Here is a 17,142-nt window from a genome sequence, read left to right as displayed (position 1 = left end):
CCAGACAATTGAGGGGCTCCAGTCCAGGGCTGAGCAATGGCGGCCGTGGGGCCTTCCCTTTGAGAAATGGGAAATGCAGGCAAACCACTGCCCTCTCAGCACAGGGATGATGTAACTTGTAACATTTATCTCTAGCTTAATTATTAGAGATGGGGCCACTGATAGTACACCAAAGTCAGTGTGAAGCTTACTCCAGTGACAGACAGTTGGTCAATTATCTGGGCAGCATCAGATTATTTTGATCTTTCAGAGGGTTTGATCCTTTTTGCGTGGGTCACTATTACTGTTTTAGAACATCAGCCAAATAAAAAGAAAAATGTTTCATCTTCACAACCCTAGCAGGATAAAGCATTTCAAGAATCCCCTGCAGAATAATAAACAAATCTTTATAAATTAACTTTAGTTAATCCACTGGATGTTGGGAAATTCAGTGAAACCACCTTCATTTATTTTTGGAGAGATGCTGTGTCCAGGTCAGGCAGGCAGAAGATAGAGTCTTGTTTGACAGGGAGGCATTTGCTGAGCACATAATGAGAGTGGGGAGACACACACAGACACGCACAGACACGCACACAGAGACACACACACATGCACACACGGAGACACACATACACCACACACATACAGACACATACACATGCACACACACACGGAGACACACAGAGACACACATACAACACACACACAGACACACACACCTACACCACACATACATACATGCACACACATAGACACACAGAGACACACAGACACATACACACAGACACACATACAGAAACACAGGCACACACACAGACGCAGACACAAATACACCACACAAAGATACACACGCACAGAGAGAGAGACATACAGATAGAGACAGATACATATACACACTCAGAGAGAGATACAGAGAGAGAGACACACAGAAAGACAGAGATAGAGACACACACACAGACATACGCATGCAGAGAGAGACAGAGAGAGAGAGACTCACATATACACAGAGAGAGAGAGAGAGACAGACACACACACAGAGACATATACACATGCAGAGAGACACAGACAGACAGACGGGGGCACCTCCGCCTACCTCCGCGCCTGATGTCTGTTCTAACCCCAGTCCCAGGGTATGTGTGACCTCAAAATATATCCCCCTTTCATCATGGTAACTGAGTGTGTTTCTATTTCTTACATCTAGGACAGCCATCATAGCTACAAAACAGATGGATGCGGTAACACAGAACACCAAAAACCTCCGCTTAAGACTCGGCTGGGAAATTGAGTTGCCTTTTTTAATGGAAAAGGAAAAGAATCACCCATAAGGATAACCTTGAATTTAGAAAGAGCGGGTGGGTGGGGTGATCAGCTGGGCCTCTTCTGTGCATGGTAGAGCACATTTCAGAATTGTGTGTGTATCAGTGGTCACTGTAATTTAAGAAAAAAGAACAAGAATTCAGAAAATTATATCCTATCCGAAAAAAAGGCTACTCTAATGTTCCTGATGACTTCATTATCAACTGGAGTTATTTATTTTTCTAAGAATGTTATCTTTGGAGATAATTTTCATCAGTGAGTCAACCTTTGTTTGCTTGCATTGGTTTCACCTTCTATTATTTTTTACCCATGACTGTCAGCTTTTACCACTTACTGAACCCTGACGGAAGAAGGACGTCTGCTCATTGACATGCTGACAACCTGATAAGTCACCCCACACACATACCACACACACACGTGCACATCCACTCATTCGACTCGCTCAGACCCAGTGGCTAGTGTCGATTTTTCTCTAAAGTTGACTATATAATAATCACTTCATTTCCCAGAAACTCATGTGTCTATTCTTTTTTTAAATTAAAAAAATTCAACTTTTATTTTAGATACAGAGGACACATGAGCAGATTTATTACATGGGGATATTGTGTGAAGATGAGGTTTGGGGTTCAGATCTCATTAAATACCAAGAAGATCTCTGAAAATTACACAAATATATGGAAATTAGATAACTTACTTTTGAATATCTCTTGGGTGAGCATCAAAATCATGGCAGAAATTTTTTTAATTGAAATTAATAAATATAGGGACACAACTTTCCAAAATCTTTGGGATGCATCCAAAGCAGTTTACAGCCCTAGAAATGCCTTCATCAAGAAGCTAGAAAGGTCTCAGGGTAACATCTGTCTCTTCTTACTGTTATGAGTAAACAGCGATCACCATGTACTTTTAGGCATTCTTGCATTGATGAAGAGGGTTCTGTGTGCCCAACATTGCTCCAACCTCGAACCAGCTTTGAATCTCCTGGGGATGACATGCTCCAAGGTCAGCTCCTTCATGCTGGTCATGGCTGTGGGTGTGTCTGGGATGTGTGTGTGTTTCCTCACGTGCAGGCAGAGTGGTATTTGCTGGGCAGGAACTGTGGAATCTGTGGCTCCTATTCCAGGCCTCTAGTCAATAAAAACCAGCATCTTAGAATATTCCAGTCACCAATAGGGAAAATTGCTCCTGTAAATTTTGACTGTGAGGGGCAATCTCTTAGTTCAAGCTGATGCCTTTCTAATATCTCCATCTTTTAATGGTACTACAAAACGTCAAAGGACTCTCACAAACCTGCCTCATAACCAGCCATTCCAGCCATAGAGCAAAGTGTGTATCATTCTTACTGAGTTTGCATTGAGGAATCAGAAGCTCTGAGAGATGGGCCGACACATCCACGGTCACACAGTCTTCAGAATTCACCAGGCCAAGGCTCAGGAGCTTCCATGCTTTCTTCTTTACTTGTAGAATTTTTTTAAACTTATTCCTTTAAGATCTTTCATTGTACTTTCAACGCACTCCTGACCAATGCATTTTAAGACAACAGGGCTAGCGTGCAATTGGATTTCGGAGGGCAGTCATGTCAATGAAACTAGATAAGTCATTGTAAATTGTTATTTAACAACCACAGAATTGCTGTAGAACATCTGTTGCTGACGGCATGCTCAGGGCTGTTTCTTTTCAAGCTCACTGCCTGGCTGTGGAACATCAGACCAGATTTATGCACGTGCTCCTCCTGGTTTATGACTATGAAATTTGAAGAACGGCTCTCTTGGAATCGAGTATTTTCTTCAATTTCCTCTTGCCCTCTAGTTTAATCTAGTCCATCTGAAAGGAGTCCCACAGTATTGGGGACGGGGGCAGAGTATGGTGGCTTCACGTCCTCTGAAACCTGTTGCATTATCAGCTGCACTGGCAGGTCCCAAAGCTGGCAGAGGCCAGAGCCAAAGGCCTCATCTACAGATCAAGAAAGAAGTGAAGAGAGGAGAGGGGGATCCATACCCCTGCGTCCCTCCACTCCCCAGCACACCTCTGCTCACCTAGCTAATGAGGCCAGTAGAAAGGTACGCATTTGAGTTTTATTTTCAAGATTTTGCTATTTCTTTGAGAAGCCTAAAAGGTTAGTTGCTCCCCAAACTCTTGTATAAATCAGGGCTAGTTTCCCCTGGCCAATGTACCACTTCCTCCTCTATCCTGATGGGCCTTGGAGTGGTGATTCTATTATTTGCTCTTTTCTCTTTAGTGTAAATCTTATCTCCCCAATTTCCTTGAGGATAAGAGCCACGATTTATGCTTGATGATTTAGCAAGTCCTCTGCAAACACTCACTGTGGAATTGATGGGTAATAGACGCGGACGTAATCCTTAACATTGTGGATCTGGCTCATCTGGTCAAGACTTTGTCTACTCAGATGAGATTACGGGATCCTACCTTGGCAAGAGTTTCTGTAGGAATTCCGACATTCCTGGAGGAGGGGGTCATGCGTGAATCAGTGTGAGTCCGTCTGATCTCTTCATTCTTGGGAACCTTCTATTCCCTCAGAATGTAGAATAGTAAAGCAGGTAAAAGCACATGTTTAGAGTCAGACTTTCATGGGTGCCCCAACCAAGGTGGCTGACCTTGGGCAAATTCCATGGCCTAAAGACAATTCTGTTTTCTCCTCTTTAATATGGGCATAATCCTGGTAAGTACTTCATAGGCTTGTGAGGGCTATATGGTTGGATCCATATCTAGGGTTTAGAACCGTGTTCAGTGTGAAGCAAGTGTTTAATGGATGCTTGATATTTTCATATTTTCGTGGTTATCATACTGCCTCTCCATCTTCTCTTTCTTTTGTTTTGTTTTTATTGGCTTTTCTTTTTTTTTTTTTTTTTTTTTTACGGAGTCTTGCTCTGCCACCCAGGCTAGAGTGCAGTGGCATGATCTCGGCTCACTGCAATTTCCACTTCCCTGGTTCAAGGATTCTCCTGCCTCAGCCGTCTGAGTAGCTGGAATTACAGGCAGCCTCCACCACACCCGACTAGTTTTTGTATTTTTAGTAGAGACGGGGTTTTGCCATGTTGGCCAGGCTGTTCTCGAACTCCTGACCTCAAGTGATTCACCCATCTCAGCCTCCCAAAGTGCTGGTATTACAGGTGTGAGCCACTGCGCCCAGCCAGGTATGTTGAATGTACAAAACTCTTAAGGCTATTGACACAGTCATACCAAAAAATCTCTTCTCAATTTATCTTCCTTCATCTTTAGCATCTTCTTTCCATGAGCTGAGCTGAGGGGCAGGCTCTCTTCCAAGACCATGCAGTACAAGACTTCCCTTAGGTTCCTCCTTCAGACAAGGGAGAATTACTCCCATCTTGATCCTTTCTTTTGTTTCAACTTTATTTCAGATCTTACCTTTCCAAAGGAGGTGCTCATGTTTTTACATTTCCTCTGGGGTTCCCTGTCCCTGTTTTTGTCTTCCTTTTATCCTTCATCTAACTCTTTGCCCACAGAAATTCCAAAGATACTGCAAGGCAGGGGTTGCAACCTATAAACCAAATTCAGTTCAACGGTGTGTGATTTAAAGAACAAATCAAATTAGTTTCCAACACAAACACTTGCAAATAGAAAGCTGTCAAAATGTTGGGTTTTTGGTTTTTCTCCTGAAGTCTAGAGGACCTGGCAACAGTGGGCCTGCATTGCACAGGGCATAGACCTGCAGGAGCTGAGTGCATAGGCACCTCAGAGTGTTACAGGCTCTGTCCTGCTGCCCTGGGCCCTCCCAGCCAGCCTCCAGCCAACCTCCCTCACCTGCCCTCCCTACCTGGATCTTGGAGGTGTATGATTTTGTGATACCTGCTTTAGAGCAAGAACACTTGAGCACAGAGACCCAGAATGATATGACGACAATGCCTTTGGAGTGTGAAGACCTGGCTACAAGTCCTGGCCTTCACTAGCTGCCTGATCGTGCACCAGTCCCAAATCTTATAATTTTTTGTGTGCTTCTTTATCTGGTAGAGGGTGAGGACACTTGACCTCTGTCCTTACAGGACCACGGGGAGGAATTTTAGAGAGAAGGGGCATGAAAGTACTTTGTAAAGGGCAGTGCAGACGTTAGCTCTGAGGACGGGCCTCCTGTGTGTATCTCAGAGGGCTATCCCAGGATCATTGATGTTGCCAACACAAGAGTTTGTGCCAAATCTTCCCTCTGCCTTTGACTCTCTGAATGTGAGAATTTTTGCTCATGAGTGTTGGAGGCCATGACAGTCAGTATCAGTCCAGCAAGTCATTCTTTTTCCAAGCTTGTTACCTGCCTGAAAGGAGGCAGTAAAGCAGAGGTGCACAGCGCACCAACAGTGTTATCGGCAGGCTGCCTGACTTGGAAAAGGAGGAAGGTCGTTCCTACACATTTTCGTTCCTTGTTGGTTTTCACTACAAAGGACCTCACACACCCCCATAGTGCCCGTGGGCTGGCGTGTCCCCAGGATAAATAAAACCTGCATTTTTCTTATTAATCATCAATATGAAAACACATGACCTCTCTTTCTATTGTTCTGTGCCTGGTTCACGCCCTGTATAATTTTATATGGTTCCTACAGCCCTGACATGCCCTGAGCAACAATCGACATTGATTCACTGACTTATAAAAGTGTATTATCTGTTCTCTGTGTCTACGTAGAGTTCTCTGAGAGTTGCCCAGGCAGTGACTCAGGACTCCAGAGAGAGGTGCACAGAGCGGTCACACACCAGGGAGGGAGCGATTTGCAACTCAGAATACTTCTTAGCAGAAAGCACATTTGGGCTTGATCTGCTCCTTGATTTCTGTGGGAGTGACTTCGTGACAGTTTCAAGCTGAATCCTACATTTGCTTCTTAAGTCAACTGAAATTCCATTCGAGTTAGATCCATTCTGTGTCCACTTTAAAAGCCAAGCTGTTTAGTGGGGGATTGTTATGACACAGCAAGCTTGACAAAAAATACACCTGGTCTTAGAAGCAATCTTTGCATAGCTCTGAATGCACAGAAGAAAATCGTGCTTGGGTAAAGGCAAGGATTTCACTAGGCATAACTCACCATGAGGCATAGATCCTTGAGCAAAAGTCCAGCAGTATGTATGTATGCATGCTGAGCATGATGCTACCAGCTTAGCAGCAAATGTTGGTGAAGGAAAATAAAACAATGCATGTGTCCAACATTAAAAGTTTCTAAGTTTAAAAGTACAACAAAATTCTGCTAAATTTCTAACGGACGCTAATGTTTACAACTTCTCTTTGAGTCAGAAGGTTTTAGTTATTACTAAAACATGCTTCCTCAATTCCAAGCCTCTTCATTTTAATGTATTTGTAACTAGGCAATTACACAGTCTGGAGAGATCCTTCGTGCTCACTAAATATCCATGCTCTTTCTTCCATTTCCCAGCCTTCTTTGCAGTTTTCCTGGACTCATGAAATAAGAACAAAGGCATTGTGCATCGCCTTCAGGTTGAGGCAGCTAAAAGCTAGTAAGCCTCCTTCATTTCCCTCTTCCCCTGACAGTGGGGGACCTGTGCTCTAGAGGGCATCCCCGCATAAGGAGAGTGGCGGCCCGGCCCACATTCAACTGTGACCTGAGAAAGGAATGAACCGTGATGATGTGAAAGAATGCTGTGGCCTTTGTGTGTTACCACAGCATAGCTTGTCCTATCCTGTCTAATACACACATTTAAGGTAAAGAGGATTTTCCCCTGCAAAGCTAATATTACATCTATGACAAATGTTATCATTATTGTCATAGAATCCAAAAAATACAAATTCTATTTATTTAACTTCAGTGGTAAATGAGAAACTTTCGAGAAGCAGTAATTGTATCTAGAGAAGCTATTCTCAGTTGAAGGTAGGGGCAGCTTCCAGACAATCCCTAGAGAGCACTCCCAAACCCCTATACCTTCCCCACCCTAATCCTCTTACCCTCCAGATTTGGAGACAACTTTTTCTTCTACATACTTTTGATAACCACAAATTAGAGAGAGAGAGAGCAAGATTCCAGGAGCATCCACCAGTTGAGCCGTGAACAATGCAGGGTTTAGGGGTGGTGACCCCTGCAAGTCAAAACCCCACATACAATTTTTGACTCCCCAAAAACTTGACTCTAACAGCTACTGTTGACCAGAAGCCTTACTGAGAGCGTAAACCATCGACTAACACGTTATGTATGCTGTATGTATTACATACTGTATTCTTACAATAAAATAAGCTAGAGAAAAGAAAATGTTATTAAGAAAATTGTGTGGAGGAGGAGGAAAAGAAGGAGTTGGCCTTGCTGTCTCAGGGGTACCAGATATGGAAGAGAATGCGCATATAAGTGGACCTGCACAGTTTAAACCTGTGTTGTTGTGTTGTTCAAGGGTCAGCTGTAAGAGAGTTCACATAAAGATGTTATCCTTCCCATTGCTTCCATTTTTTTCTTTATTTTGTTTAAATAATATCTATTGGAGGAGGCCAACGAGGTGAGATTCCAGAGGCAGCCAGAGGCAGTGGGAGTGGTTGGGGCCCAGGAGAGAAGCTCAGAGAAGGCCTGGTGGGTTGAGGCTGAGGAGGGGATGAGGAGAGGCCAGCATAGGGACGACAGAGGAGGTGACCAACCTGGAGACTGTGCATGCATGGGATTGAGAAGGTGAGTGACTGTGCTGAGGACAGAGGGAGTCAGGTTCCTCACCATTGAAGAAGAGAGTTGTAAGTGCAGAAAGTGGGGAGGCTAGAACAAACCCTGTGGTGTTGGGTTGGAATCGGTGGTATCTGGGTGAACTCAAGGTTTTTAGTATACACAGTTAGAGATGGATATAGACATACTTGCCTGTGTGTGTGTTGGGGGGATATGCATATAAGCGTATACCTCCTAGCTCCCTCTGCTGAAGAGCTCAATGAACGTACAGCAATAGCAATGAGCTTATCCAGCATCCACATACTGGTTTCTAAATAACATTCTCCACTAAAAGAATGCAGAATTTCTTGGAAAAATGGCTGATTCCAGGCTGAGGCAGGGTAATTCCAAGATTAGCTTGGAAAATCTTTTACCAGAAAGTAAGGACATGTCCAAGAATGATGGGGGCGTAGAAAGGATGCAGGAGCCACGCAGAGGTGAAACCACTGGCCAGATCTTGGATAAGCTGAGCATCAAAATAAGTGATAATAACAGATTATAACCCACTGAATAAAATAAGAATTCATGAGTTTACTGTGATGCAAAAAAAAAAAAAAATACATGGGAGAAAAAGTAAAAGTTATCCTGATAGTAGGATGCCAACAATTAAGTGTAGAAGGAGATGTGAAATTAAACATTTCCCATTTGGAAACAAAATAGTAATAATTGATTCTGGCAGGAATCACCAATGGGTGCTAAAACCAGTGGAGGAAAGTTTGATAAGGAAGGAGGTATTTGCCTATCTCAGAGTTTTTCACTACAGAATAGTCAGAAACTATAAGCACAAACAAGAACTTTCCAGTGGAGAAGCCAGGAAGACCGTCCCGCCAGGGGAGCTGATTCAGCCTGGGCAGCCGTAAGACACTGCAACATCACCCATCTTGCCGGGTGAGCCACTGAGAAGACACCATTTCTGCGGGATTCCTGTCCAGAATGCACACCCTCAACGTAATCACAGGACAGGTCCAGATAAACCCAAATTGTGGGACACTTTAGTGGCTGTTGTTCTCAAAAATGTTGAGGCCATGAAAGATATGGAAGGACTGAGCAGCTCTTCCTCAGAGGAGGGGAGGAGAGACATGGCAGCCAAGTGCGACGTGCAGTCTTCATCCCATCCTGGACCACTGTGTGTATAGATGGACAGACAGACAGATACATAAATTGATGGATACATAGATAGATAGTTACATAGATAGATAAACAGACAAACATGCATAGATAGATAGATGATAGATACATAGGTAGGAAGATATATCTATTTATATAGATATATAGATTATAGATAGGTAGATGATAGACATACAGAGAGACAGATAGATACATATGTAGATGGATAGATAGTAATAGTATATATTTTATATATATTTTGAGTGTATATATTTTGCAGTAAAAACATTGGGATAAATAGTGAAATTTAAATGGGGTCAGTGGATTAGAGGATAATGATGTATTAATGTTAATTTCTTTTTAACTTATTTTTTATTGTAGTTAAAATGCATAACATAAAAATTACCATCTTAATTATTTCTAAGTGTACAGTTTGGTGGTGGTTGCTATGTTCACATTGTTGTTAATGCTAATTTCTTGATTTGGATGGTTGTACTGTGCTTATAGGAAGGCTTCTTTGCCTTTAGAAAATATGTGTTTAGAGTAAAAAGTGTGTGCGTGTGCATTTATATGTGTGTGTGTGTGTGTATGATATATAGATGTAAAAAAGGGAAAATCATCAAGTAGGTATGCTAAATAACAATTGGAGAAGGCAGAAAAATGGTATATGGAATTCTTTGTACTATGCTTGCAATTTTTCAGTAAGTTTGAAATTATTTCAAAATCAAAAGACAACTATTGAAACCGCTGTGGTGCCTTCGATTCTCTGCTATCCTTCCCCGGACTCACCGCCTTCTGGAACCACAGAGATCCTCTTTGTCATTCACTTTTTGTGAGTCTGCGTTCTCTGGGGGAAAATAGAAAGAGAAAGCGTCTCCAATGGGTAGCAAAATGGAAAAAGAAGAGAAACTAGTGTGTCTAATCCTCATTCCCCCAAGGCATCATGAGGAAAATAAAATTCTTTCTGTCCTGAGTCCCAGGCTCCTCCGGCCTCTGAAACCTGCCTCACCGGCAGGGCTCAACCCCGTGACTCTCTGCCCCAGTCCCTCTCAGATCCCCACCTCCACCCGAGCCTGACATTCCCCTCTCTGAGCTCTTACAGCAACTAAGCCACTTTACACAAAGGTGATTCTCCATCACATTGAGGAGATTTGTGTTGTTTTCTGTATAAGTTCATAAAAGCAAGGTTTTGAGTTTTTAGTTTTTTTAAATTGTGGAACAATACACGTAACATACATTTACCACCTTAACCATTTTTAAATGTGCTGTTCAGTGGCATCGTTGATTGACATTGTTGTGTAATCATCAGCACCATCCATCTCCAGAATTTTTTTACCTTCCCAAGTTGAAACTCTGTCCCCTTTCACCAGTAGCTCCCCGCTCCCCTCCCCCAAGCCCCAGCAACCCCCATTCAACTTTCAGTCTCTGTGATTTTTGACTGTCTAGGAACCTCAAGTAAGTGGAATCATGCAGTATCTGTCCTTTTATGAGTGGCTTATCTCGCTGAGCCTGGGGTCCTCAGGGTTCATCTATGTTGCAGCATGGGTCAGGGTTTCCTTCCCTTTTTTTTTTATTGAGACAGAGTCTCGCTCTGTTGCCCAGGCTGGAGTGCAGTGGCGCGATCTCGGCTCACTGCAAACTCTGCCTCCCGGGTTCAAGCGATTCTCCTGCCTCAGCCTCCTGAGTAGGTGGGACTATAGGCGCCCGCCACCGCGCCCAGCTAATTTTTTTGTATTTTTAGTGGAGACAGGGTTTCACCGTGTTAGCCAGGATGGTCTCGATCTCCTGACCTCGTGATCCGCCCACCTCGGCCTCCCAAAGTGCTGGGATTACAGGCGTGAGCCACCGCGCCCGGCCTCCTTCCCTTTTGACACTGAATTCCATGCTGTATGCATAGACCGTGTTTCCTGATGGATTCCTTCATCTAAGGATGGATGCTTGGGTTTGCTTCCATCTTTTGGCTTCTGTGAATGATGCTGCTATGAATGTGGTTCTACAGGAATCTGTTTGAGACGCTGCTTTCAATTCTTATGGGTACACACCCAGAAGTGGAAATGCTGGGTCATAGGATAATTTTTTGTTTAATTTTTTGTGGGTCTGCCATACTGTGTTCCACAGTGGCTACACCATTTTACATTCCCACCAACAGTGCACGAGGGTCCCAAAGGTTTTAGTGTTTACCTCCTTTGTGTCCCCTGGTCAACAGGTTCACCCTGGCCAACACTTTGGCCTGAAGTTATTTAAACCAAGAGGCTTTGTATACAGTCATTGCCACACCACACTCTGTGTCTGCTGACCAGCACGCTGTGGGAAAACACAGTTAGGCCTAGCGTGCTGGGGCACTCACCCCCACAGTGCCTTCTTCCCTGGATATGGGATCCCAGAGTGTAAGAGTTGGAAGAAACACAGTATCAGTAATGACTGGGACTCTTCTTCAAATCAGTTCTAGTTATGTCATTCAGACCTGCAGAATGACATAACTACAAGGGGTTGGGGACAATTGGACAACTGTAAAATATTGCAAAACATAGTTTTAAGCTGCCCATATACCCAAGTGATAATGTATGGGCTTTTTGAAGATATCCACATGTCCCAGACAAACAGGAAAGGTAAGAACAGGCATTAAAGAAACCTCCATCTTGTTGTTTTTCAAAAAAGACACAGAAATCTGCCAGGAGAGGTTTAATACTCTTGTTATCAGGACTAGCACTTTCTGATTGCAAGTGGCAGATGAGCTTTATCATAAACCTAGCATTTAGAGTGCTTCCAAAAGCAATCTTAATCTCTTCTTATCTTCTCCAGGAAGACGAGGCTGCCGGCACAGCCAGCAGGGACTCGTTTTTATGGTTCTCAGGTGTCTAGATGCTGGAACCTGCTGTCTGGTTTCTATACATTTTACTTGCCTCCTGGGGATGATGGGAGCATATGCCAGGCTGAGATGGGTGGCAACCTACATTTTAATTCTTTAAATTGCTAACTCCACCCTTGAGCCTACAACAAGTAGGTCTGCACTGCAGAAAGAAATCACGTCGCCATGGGGTCGCTGCGAGTAGTTCCTTACTGGGTGGGATGTGGAAGGGGAGCGCTGAGGGACAGCATTGGGTGGAAGCAAGATAGCAACAGCTGCAGGGAGCAGCAGCGGGACTGGGGCGAAGGCTGTGCTCTGGTGAGCTCCGTGTAACACAGGAGGGCTGACGCTGGCCCAGATAGGCTGGCGCTTGCCAGAAAAGGGCATTAGCAGGAAGACCCAGGAGCAGATTTTCAACACGGGTTGCACAGTGTAATTAACTGGAGATAGTTTAAATATCCAGATTTTCAGACCACACCCAAACCAATTAAAAAGAAAAGGGCTTCTGGGGTCAGAACCCAGGCATCCATATTTTCAAAACCTCCATAGGTGAGTACAATGCCCATCGAAAACCATGGAGAACCATTGCAGTAAGACACACTTGCATATCACGTGTGTGACACATGTGTGACACCTTCCAAAAAGCAAAAGCATTTGGGGAAAATTAATGAAGAGTGATAAATAGCTTATCTTTAAAAATGTACATCTTGGCCAGGCCTGTAATCCCAGTACTTTGAGAGGCCAAAGTGAAGGGTCATTTGAGGCCAGGAGTTCAAGACCAGCCTGGACAACATAGGGAGACATCAACTCTCCCAAAAAAAGTACATCCTGCAAAGAACAGACTGGGTGAATATAAACAAAATGTTAGCAATAGTCATCTTTGTATAACAGTGTGGGACTATAGTTTATTTTCTTTTGTGTTATCTTTGCATAACCGTGTGGGACTATAGTTTATTTTCTTTTGTTTTCTTCTATTTCTCAGCAAAAACTCTCTAATCTTTTATAACAAAAGTCATACTTCAAAAAATCTCATGATAAACAGTTTGCAATTTGCTCATAAAAGGAGAGACCATATTATTTAAAGGATGGGGGTTGTTGTGGAATCTGGTGTGCCCCCTGGAAGATAGCACAGAGCTAACACAGGGTCTCTGGCAGCTCCCGGAGGGGCCGGAGCCAGGGGCCAGCACACCGACTCCTTGTGTTTGCCCTGTGTGGGGCCGCATGTCCTGGCTCTGTCAAGGCTGCCGGTGGCTCAGTGTCCCAGATAGGCGGTGCTCACTGTCTCCCAGACACCAGATGAGGACACCCAGGGCTGTGGAGCCTTTTTTTTTTTTTTTCTGAGATGGAGTCTCGCTCTGTCACCCAGGCTGGAGTGCAGTGGCAGGATCACGGCTCACAGCAAGCTCCGCCTCCCGGGTTCACGCCATTCTCCTGCCTCAGCCTCCTGAATAGCTGGGACTACAGGCATCTGCCACCACGCCCGGCTAATTTTTTGTATTTTTAGTAGAGACGGGGTTTCACTGTGTTAGCCAGGATGGTCTCAATCTCCTGACCTCGTCATCTGCCTGCCTCGGCCTCCCAAAGTGCTGGGATTACAGGCTTGAGCCACCTCGTCCGGCCGGCTGTGGAGTCTTCTGCTTCCAGATGTGCCACTGACTTTCTAACTGGCCCGAGTGAGGTCACTTACCCCGAAGCCTGATTGACAGCCCCTCCCCTGGAGTGCGTTGTGAACACTGAAAGTAGTGTCAGTGAAGGGCTTGGTTTCTCTCCAGCAAGAAAACTTGCTGTGCACAGTGCAAAGTCCAAAGACTTGAAGATACTTCAGAGGTGACACTCCCCCCGCCAAAGACTTCCATGAAGTGGGACCTGCTAGATGTTATGGTTCTTTCCATGAAGTCCCAGGAAGTCCTCCTGCTTTGATTTTCAAAGCTGCTATCATGCTGTTTTAGAAATATTGCTTTCACGGGTCTTCTCCAGTTGACAGTAGATGCCCTGTGGTTCATTTGTTCTCATGCTGGCCTTAGCTCTTTTAGGATAGCCTCCAGTCTCTGTGTTGAATAAGGCAAGGTCAAAGCAGCAGCCTCCTTGCATTTATTCCGTATGCAAATGCACCTTTAGCCTGTGCTATTCTCCAGGGCAGTGGCATGAAGTCAGGAATCACAGGGGATAGGTAGGTCTTATTCCCCCGCTGGGATGGGTACTCGTGGCCTGGAGCATGGACAGATTTCCGAGGATAGAGAGGAAAGGCAGGGGCTGGAGATTTTAAGTGGACTTTTCTCACCCACATGTGGAAAGGAAGTTTGGAGTAGAGAAGAGTTGTTCCCTCCGACACGTTTCAGGCCATGCCTTTACGTCCATCTAGCCTGCTTGTCATCTGCACCCCAGCACCCATCCCCTGCAGCCCCCACAGTAACACCAGGTCTGGCCTCAGAAGTGCCTCCCCCAGCCTCAGGTCCAGTCTCAGGTGACCGTGCAGGGTGCTGCCTCCTGGGCTCACTGCCCAGTGAGGAGAGGAGGCAACGGGGAGCTTCCACATCTCCTCTAAAGACTCACTTCTTTCCTCATTCCATCCTTTTCGATCTTTGCTTTGCCAGTTCCCACCATGGGCATCTGGAATGAAGGACGGGAAGAAAGAGAGAGGGAGAAAGGGGAAGAGGAGGCGTCTGCCACTGCCTTGTTTGCTCACTTCAAAGGGCTCCCTAATGAGTCTGTCTATTGTCTAAGCTCCTTGTCTATACCTGAGTTTTGCAATCTATACACCTAGGGAGATCACAGGGAACCGAAAGGAGCCTCTCACCGCAGGACGGGACAGCCCACCCTCCCCCTCCACATGGAATCAAAGGGGCAATTGTCAAAGGCAAATGAATTTGATCTGGAGGATTGCACAGATACTGGAACAGGTTCAGTGAAAGAGAAAAGAATGTGCATAGCCGGTGGGGGTGGAGGAGGCAGGAAGATGGGGAAGGGGAGCTGTTGGAAGCCAAGATCAAATTAATTCCCACTTAGATCACCTTTTGATGTATTTCCTCATCCCTGCTGCCACAGTGGTGAGCTCCTGGAGATTTCTAGAAATTCCTTTCCCATATCTATTCCCCACTCTGTTCCCTGTGTGCTGGGCCACTGGTTGTCAACCGGTGTCTGGGGAGGGAGGAGGTGATGAACATTTGCCAAAGTCGGAGATGCTTTCCATTGTCACCACAAGGGGAAGGGGGTCCCTGGCCCTCAGCGGTGGGTGGAGACCAGGGGTGTTTCTAAGTAGCCTACAATACACAGAACAGCTTCCCACAACAAAATATTATCTGACTTAACACGTCAAAAGTGTCATGATTGGCCGGGCGCGGTGGCTCACATCTTAATTCCTCCCACAATATGAACTGATGAAGTGGCAACAGTGCCAGATATGGCTTGCAGAATCCAGGATGTGTACTGTGCCATGGGTGTGCTGAAGGGGGATAGTCACTACTTCCCCAGCAGCATCCAGAACACTATGAAACCATGGTGCACACACTGTACTATGTGGCTGAGAAGATGCTAGAAATGGGACAGAAACACTCTTAGTGAGTAGAATTTCCTGTTTCCAAATTTCTTTTGCTTGAGCAGTGTCCACAGAAGACAAAGAACTACTGATATGAATATGTGCATGTCTGTGTCTGTGGGTATGGCTGCAGTTATGGCTGTGTCTACGGCTACATCTGCTGTGTCTATGATTACGTCTATATTTATGTCTGCCTCTATGGCTATGGCTACCTTTATGTCTATGTCTATGGTTTTGTCTACGTCGATATCAGTGTAGATGTCGATGTTAATGGCTATGTCTATGGTTTTGTCTATGTCTATGTCACTGTTGATGTCTGTGTTGATGGCTATGTCTGTGTCAATGTTGATGGCAATGTTGATGGTTATGTCTATGTTGACGGCTATGCTATGTCTATGTCTATGTTGCTGTTGATGTCTGTGTCTCTGGTTATGGCTGTGTCTATGGCTATGTCTATGTCACGATTGATGTCTGCGTCTGTATTGATGGCTATATATATGGATGTGGCTAGGCTATGTCTATGGCTATGTCTACGTCACTGTTGATGTCTGTGTCTGTGTTGATGGCTATGTCTATGGCTGTGGCTATGGCCATGTCTAGGTCTATGTCTACGTCTATGTTGCTGTTGATACCTACATTAATGACTATGTCTATGTCTACGTTGCTGTTGATGTCTGCGTCTGTGTTGATGGCCGTGTCTATGGCTGTGGCTATGGCTATGTCTAGGTCTATGTCTACTTCTGTGTTGCTGTTGATACCTACATTGATGACTATGTTTATGTCTACATGTACATCTGTAGTTATGGCTATGGTTGTGTTTATGTCTGTGTCTGTGTCCGTGGTTGTGTTTATGTTCATGGCTATGGTTATGCCTATGTGAGTTTTCGGACCTAAATTGGGGTCCGTTGTGGAGGACTAAGACTTCCAGTATGTCTTTGCTCAAAAAAATACCCAGAGAATATGATTTAAGCTCCAAATGATAATTAGTTATTGGATCTCTGTCTTGTTCAAGTGCTTAGTTACCATTGCCACATATGCCTTCAACAATCCACAGTTATTGATGTTTTCCTATGTGTCAATTACTGGATAAGCACTGAGTACACATGGGTGAAAAGGACAGACACTGCCCCTGTCCTCATAGAGTAAGTAGTCACTTGGTTGCTCACTCTTTTTCTCCCTCCTCTTTCAAAGCTTTCATGAAATTCCATCCTAGTTTTTTTTTTTTTTTTTTTTTTTTTTCAGACAGAGTCTCACTCTGTCACCCAGGCTGGAGTGCAATGGCACGATCTCGGCTCACTGCAAGCTCCGCCTCCTGGGTTCACGCCATTCACCTGCCTCAGCCTCCCAAGTAGCTGGGACTACAGGCGCCCACCACCATGCCCGGCTAATTTTTTGTATTTTTAGTAGAGATGGGGTTTCACCATGTTAGCCAGGATGGTCTCGATCTCCTGACCTCATGATCCACCCACCTCGGCCTCCCAAAGTGCTGGGATTACAGGTATCAGCCACCGCACCCGGCCTCCATCCTAGTTTATGACAGAGGCTATGAAGTACCAACAGCAAAAGTATCTCAGAAAGATACCATAAAAAGCCTACAGAAAACATACCTATAAAAAGCCTTCTGTGAAAGTTGTCTTTTAAGAGCAAAACATAGAAGCACAAATCATTCCACACAGCCCACTGTTTAGGAGTCACAGCTTACTGGG

At 44.7% G+C, this 17,142-nt stretch overlaps 1 long non-coding RNA gene across 2 annotated transcripts in view, besides 1 other annotated feature; it reads left to right on the top strand.

The window, feature by feature from the left end:
- The window catches only part of LINC01622 (long intergenic non-protein coding RNA 1622), a 140,330-nt gene that overhangs the window by 31,477 nt on the left and 91,711 nt on the right, over positions 1 to 17,142 (top strand). The window lies entirely within an intron of this gene.
- Positions 2,524 to 3,723: an enhancer, noted in NCBI's record as "CDK7 strongly-dependent group 2 enhancer chr6:1066368-1067567 (GRCh37/hg19 assembly coordinates)". NCBI's record gives its function as "activates an origin of replication core promoter dependent on BRD2, BRD4, P300/CBP, MED14 and CDK7 cofactors, with strong dependence on CDK7, by STARR-seq in HCT116 cells {active_cell/tissue: HCT116}" and the evidence as "EXISTENCE:reporter gene assay evidence [ECO:0000049][PMID:35650434]".

The sequence above is a fragment of the Homo sapiens genome, chromosome 6, assembly GCF_000001405.40.
Source record: "Homo sapiens chromosome 6, GRCh38.p14 Primary Assembly".
Taxonomy (NCBI): domain Eukaryota; kingdom Metazoa; phylum Chordata; class Mammalia; order Primates; family Hominidae; genus Homo; species Homo sapiens.
The sequence above is the reverse complement of the archived record's forward strand: the minus strand, read 5'-3'. Positions and strand labels throughout refer to the sequence as shown.